This window comes from Homo sapiens, chromosome 3, assembly GCF_000001405.40.
Source record: "Homo sapiens chromosome 3, GRCh38.p14 Primary Assembly".
Classification (NCBI taxonomy): Eukaryota; Metazoa; Chordata; class Mammalia; order Primates; family Hominidae; genus Homo; species Homo sapiens.
In genome coordinates this window covers 25,972,696-25,979,153 of record NC_000003.12, presented here as the reverse complement: position 1 = coordinate 25,979,153, position 6,458 = coordinate 25,972,696, and the positions used below count along the sequence as shown (strand labels likewise).

Here is a 6,458-nt window from a genome sequence, read left to right as displayed (position 1 = left end):
TGAAGCTTCATGTTTTTATTTAAAAAGAAGTTCCTCTCCAGTGATTTCTGCCTATATGTCATTGGCCAGAAATCTGTCACAGAGCCAACATTAGTGGGAAGGGAGTCTGACACTAATAAAATTTGTCCCCATCAAAATCAAGTTCTGTTATAAGGAGAAAAAAGAAAAGGCATAATGGCTATTTGGTGAGCAGTTAGTATGGACGGTCACAGTTTTTTAAGCAACATGATCAAATTCCACTTTAGAAAGTATGTTAGTTTCTCTATTGTCACAATAATGCTTTATAATGACAAATACAAAACTTATGTGGCAAACACAGTAAATGTTTATTGTCCATCTGTTCAGAGTCCGCTGAGCTTTCACGTGCCTGGGAGAGGTGGGCTGTTGGCTAACCTAGGCCAGTTTCAGTGGGATATGGTGACTCCGCCCTGTTCCGTAGGCCTCTCATTGTCCAGCAGGCTAGACTAGCCTTGCACCTGTGGAGATGGCAGAGGTACAAGAGAACAAGGTAAACCACAAGGCCCTTGGAGGCCTAGGCTAGGAAGCAATATTCCCTCACTTCTGCCACATTCTGTTGTCTAAAGCAAGTCATAAAACCAGCCCAGATTAAGAAGAGGAAAAATAGGTTGATTCCCCTTTTTAGTGAGGAGAATTGCAAAGTCTCATGGCAAATATATGTATACAGGGAGGGGTGAAGAACTGGGGCCATGAATGCAGTCAATCTAACGTACAAAAAACTGAGCTAGCCTAACAGTCAAAATACTAGCAAGCTTCCTATTACGATAACCAGGTGGGAAGATGGTGGCGTGAGCTGAGATAGAACATGTGAAGATGAAGAAAAACAGACCAGCTTCAGAGACATTTAGGAGATAGTGACAAAGTTTGGGGGGTTGATTAAATCATGTGGAAGGGGAGGAGAACAGAAATGGGAGAGGAGCAGTCAAGTATTTCGTGTAATATTTCCTCTTTCCACTATTCAATGTTATTCAAGAGAATGACTAGAGGAAGAAAATAACATAGTAATATAAGAAACAGTAGAACACACACTTGCATTTTACTTACTTTCAAAACCAACCCATTTTTATTTTAGCATCAGTTTGATTTTACACTGATTTCTTAGGAGTGCTGCAAGATGGAATAACTTGTGACACATGTCTGTTACTGAGATCTAGTTTAATGGAGCACTTTATTCTAAATGATACATTATGGGTTAGGTGAGAATAAAAATGTTTTTCCAGAGCCACACGAATATGGCTTTCAGTTAATTCACCTTGAAAATTGCCCAAAATAAATTCGTACTTAACAAAACCAAGAAAGCCAAATGTCTGTCAGTTTTAACGGGGAGTCACAAAGTTTCATGACAACGGTGACACAAAAGAGCTGAAGGGGCCTGTGAATCAAAAGTTGTACGTTGTGAATCAAATGATACAAGTTTGTACATCATCAGAGATGCAGGCACAGACTTCACTGACAGTAAGAATTCCAAGTCTTATCATCATGAAATATGGGATCCCACAGGCTTCATGCAGTCTTCAGATGAAGAAGTTCAACTTTGAAAATCAATGCTAGAAAGCAGATATTTTGCTGGTCTTGATAACTGTGTTCTCCAGTGGAAATTTCAAATTACATTTTATGTGGGGGAAAAATTGCCAGTGGCTTGGGGCCCCTAACAAAAGCCACACTGATTTCAAGAACAGACTAGGAAGAGATGACAGCATGGCCTGGTAAACCTGTGTAAGGTGAGGGACCTCAGCACAGTGAAGGATGTGCTATACCTGGAAGGAGGAGAGGGGATTATTGCCCCTCTCCAGAGAAACCCCAAACACTTCATCATGTGTCCCCAGAAAAGAAAGAAGCCAAAGTGAGAGGACAAATATGATACCGGTCTCCATGATGAGGTCTCTGGTGGAAACACGTTTGCTTACTCACTGGCTCTTTCATACAAGTTGTTGTGAAACATTTCACTAATATCACTGACATCATGGATAGTGAGTTCTGAGGGTATAGGAGGACACACAGATAATAAGATGGACTCTGCCCTTCCTGTCTTGAGGTAAGAATGATAGCAAGCTCCAGTGAGAGCTGATCATGTAGCAGGCATTTTGCATACGTATTTTATTTACTCTTCTAAATAACCCCAAAATGTAGGCACTACAACTATTATTTACATGGCAGAGAAACAGATGCAAAAAGGCTATGTAGCCAAGCTCATGTGTCTGGAAAAGCTGTCCAACCAGGATCTCATCTCCTCCTACTCAGACCCCAAATTTCTTGTTCTTAACCATGCCTACCTTAGAGTCTAAAAGAGAAGATAGAACATGGACAAAATCAAGTATGATTGGGTTAGACATACTCATCCTTCTAATGCTTTCTACATGCCCAGCATTATTCTAAACACTTTCCATGATTCTTCCTTTAATCCCTACAGCAATGCCACAAGGGTGTTGATAGTGTTATCTTTATTTTAAAGGTGGGGAAATTAGGGCATAGAGAAATTAAGTAATTCACCCAAGGTCACATCGCCAATAAATGACGGAGCTGAGATTTGAACCCAGGGAGACTGGCTGTAAAAGTTTATGCTATCAACACCACGCTATGCTCTCTCTGAAGAAAAGACACAAGGCTAGAGGAGAGAGTGATTTTTTGAGGCTGTAAAGTAGAAAAGTACATGGGAGAAAATGAGTTAAATATTTGATGGAAGATAAAGATGTGTGCTGGGTTTTAAAAACAAAGGTGGATATGTGAAGACAGGGGGAGGTTTAGGTGTAAGATATTCACCTGAATAGATTTCTCTCTGCCACCTTTTCTTTATTGTCTAGGGTCAGTATTATTTCCTTCATAGCTTTTTTGGTTTGTGATTACTTACTTACACATTTCCTTACTTCCTCATAAAAAGACCATAAGGGCAGGAATGTGATGCTCTTCATCATCATATGCCCAGTGCCAGGCACACAGAAGGCACTCAATGATCACTTGTGAAATGGAGGAAGGAGAAAGAAGAAAATTGGCAGTTGGGAAATGGGTAATGGGCTGATAACAGGTTCCACAGGAATTCAGAAAATATGGCCACAGTTAGTCATGGCGAGTTTTATGTAGCAGGTGAAATTTGAGCCAACTAATAGTTTTTAAGATAGAAAATATTGCATTAATACTGAGATTCACATATTTTCACATTTTATGTCTCTGAAATTGGAGTCAGTATTTTAAGCAATGGTATATTTGAACTTAATTGGCATTATTTTCTCTACCTTAGATGATAGAATAACAGTCCATTTTATAATTGATGACATCTTAGATTTAACAAAATAATAGAAATGATTTGTCTGACTTCCATAGATGGTAACTTCTCGGAAATGAATGGAGAAGATAGAGGCAGACTACGCAGCCTCTTGAAAACCAGTCGTATTCTAGAGTTGATATTAGAGGCAGGAGGAGCCATAGTGACTTTCTGAGCAGAGGAGTAACCTCATCAAAATGGTGCTTAAAAAAAGAGGTAACTGGACTCAGCGTGAAACAAAGATGAGATGGAAGAGAACAATATCAGTAAGGGCAGCCTGGAGGTGAGGAGGTGGAAAGAATCATGCCTTGAAGTCAAGGACAAGAGTCGCATTCACAGCTGTGTCACTAATGCTGTGACCTGAGATGTCATTTTACTCTTCTGGGTCTTGGTGTCTCTGTTAATAAAATGAAACAGTCAGAACAGAGCAACTCGCAGATGCTCCTGAATTTTAAAACTCGATGATTATTCCAGGTGTGAGGCAGCAGGTCCCTGCTGTGGGCTGCACACAGGAATATGGAACATGAGAGATGGACATAAGAAATATTTTGAAGGAGAAACAGTGTGTACAAAGGTGTGATGCTGGAGAAATGATGGAACAGAAACCAATGCAGTTATGTCTGAAGAGGAGGAAGAAGATGTGGAAGGGCAGAAAAGGACCAGACTGAGTAAGGCCTTGGGAGCCACATTGAAAAGTCTGGACCTTATTCCAGAAACAATAGGGAGCCACTGAAGCTCATAAGCTAGCAGGACTGTAATCATCAAATATTCACTTAAGCAACATGGTCATTTCGGTTGCATTGCTGAGAGAAAATGTGAGAAGGACATGACCAGAAAGAAGCCCACCTGAAAACCATTATGAGGATCCAGTTGAAAAAATGAAATAAAAGAGGCTCAAATTAGACGGGAAGCCATAGGGACAGAGAGAACTAAACAAGTTTCAGGACACTGGAACACAGAATTAGCAGGATTTGCCAAGTGATTTAATAGTGAGAGAGAAAAATAATAATAGCAGCTAATTCGCAAAATGCCCACTGGTCTTATTGCCTTGCTTTCGGCTGTTCTGGGTTATCTTTGATTTTAATTTCAGATCACACCCTCCCCACATCCATCTGCTAGCCCACCTGCCCTCGCACTCATGTCTTGGGGCTCTGAATCCACTACCATCATATTGGATACCAAACCACACCTCAGCAATCCCCCTTCCCAGTTGTCCCACTGTTCATTCCACCCCTTGCTTCTCATTGCCCTCATTTGATCTCACTTCTCTTGATCAATCCAAAGAAATAACAACCATCCCAACACTACTGTAGCAGACCCTGCATGCCCTGCCCTCAGCACTCACCGTCTTGGCCTATATCCAAATCTTCTACTGAAAATGCTGCGATTCTGCATGAACACAAGTCCAGAAATCAGGGAATTAATGCCTGATTAACACAGATTGGGTTCTCCAGGGAGCAGACTTTCAGATACAGTTCAGTGTGCAGGGTGTTTGTGAAAGAGTTCCCTTGGTATTGACACCCATGAAAGAGAATGGAAGGAAACAGGATAGGGCAGCGAGAAAAATCATGTTGTGTTCCAGGCCCCATGACAGTCTTGGCCAACCCTATGGGGAGCTCTCGAGTTAAGAATTGTCTCAGTTGGTCTGAAATGCCCAGGCCATTATACACCCACTTTAATCCATCTATGGAATGTGAGCTACCAGTGAGGGCATGATCTTGACAAGGAGGTTCTCTTCAGCTGGGGCAATTACTGAGTGGACTGACATTTGAAAGTTGTCCTCTTACAGCAACCCCACTAGCTGGGCAACAGGTCCTTCCTTAAAGGGGAACCTGGGTGGCATCTCATATGTCCTCCACAATTCCTCAGCAAGCAAGCTTCAGTCAATGACACAGAAGAGTTGGATAATAAATACCCCAGCATCTCCACCTCTTAGGGTTGGGGCTGGCGAGCAGATGACTCTAAGGCATGGTCTAGATCATGTCCCAGAATACCCTATTTCCCAGGGTGATAGCGTGCTCAATATCTTACCACTTATTGGATTCCTTCCTTTCCCGGCCTCACTTCCCCACTCCCTGCCTGTGCTTCCTAAATAAACTATGTGTATTCAAATCCTTTTCTCAGGTTTGTTTCTGAGAGAACCCAACCAAAAACACCCCCCAAAACCTTCTTTACTCATCTGTTCTACATGATAAAAGCAAGCTATTTTTTAAAGGAATGACCTGTATCTCTAGGTTATATGCCACCGTTTCATCGCAATTGATATTGTTTTTTTTTTCACTGAAACAGTTATTCAAGGTAGTGTGAATGACCTTGATACATGTTAATGCCTCAAAGATGTAGGCTGTTCACAGAAAGTGCTGATTTCTTTGCCTAACGTTCATTGTTTATCACAAACCTCAAACCATTTGACAAGCAAACATCCTTAGCATGTCTCTGACTTAATCAAAAGCAGGTCAGTGAAGCATATTCCCCAGTCATAAACCCAGCCAACAATAAAATCAATCTTCCTTGAATGGTTAAGTCTGACACCTGTTTACAGTAGCTTGTTGGCTGCTCAAATGCCCACATCTGCATTCAGTAGCAGCTACCTAGGGAGAGGTCTCTGTATACCTCAGGGATACCTGCTGTTGGCCTATTTGCAAAGGCAGATATAACCAGAGAATAGCTCCTCATGGCAAAGGATGACAGATGGGCTAAAAATTCCCAGTGTGTTTGGTTGCTATGCCAAAGTAGCAGTACCAGGTGGGGCATGACTACACAGACCCCCTTAACCAAGAATAGCTTTTCTTTATCTGGAAGACTGCCCTGGTTGACAGATACAATAGTCCCCCCTTATCCACAGGGGATATGTTCTAAGACCCCCAGTGAATGCCTGAAACCACAGATAGTGCAGAACACTATATATACAGTTTTTTCCTATACATATAAGTCTATGATAAAGTTTAACTTATAAATTAGGCACAGTAAGAGATTGACAACCTAAAGTAGAATAATTATGGCAATGTACTGTAATAAAAGTCATGTGAATGTCTCCATTCTCTCTCTCTGTCTCAAGATGTTTTATTGGCCTGTGCTCACCCTTCTTCTTATGATCCATCAATCTGATAAAGAACTCAGCTACTAAGTGACTAGCGGGCAGGTAGTATATACAGCATGGTTACCCTGGACAAAGGGATGA

General features: G+C 41.4%; 1 long non-coding RNA gene across 2 annotated transcripts in view; it reads right to left on the bottom strand.

The window, feature by feature from the left end:
- Positions 1-307: 307 nt before the first annotated feature.
- Positions 308-6,458, bottom strand: part of LOC124909357 (uncharacterized) — a 105,069-nt gene continuing 98,918 nt past the window's right edge. For both annotated transcript variants that reach the window (XR_007095849.1, XR_007095848.1), the window contains exon 2: positions 308-476. This is a non-coding gene — a long non-coding RNA (uncharacterized LOC124909357). The remainder of the gene's footprint in view (positions 477-6,458) is intronic.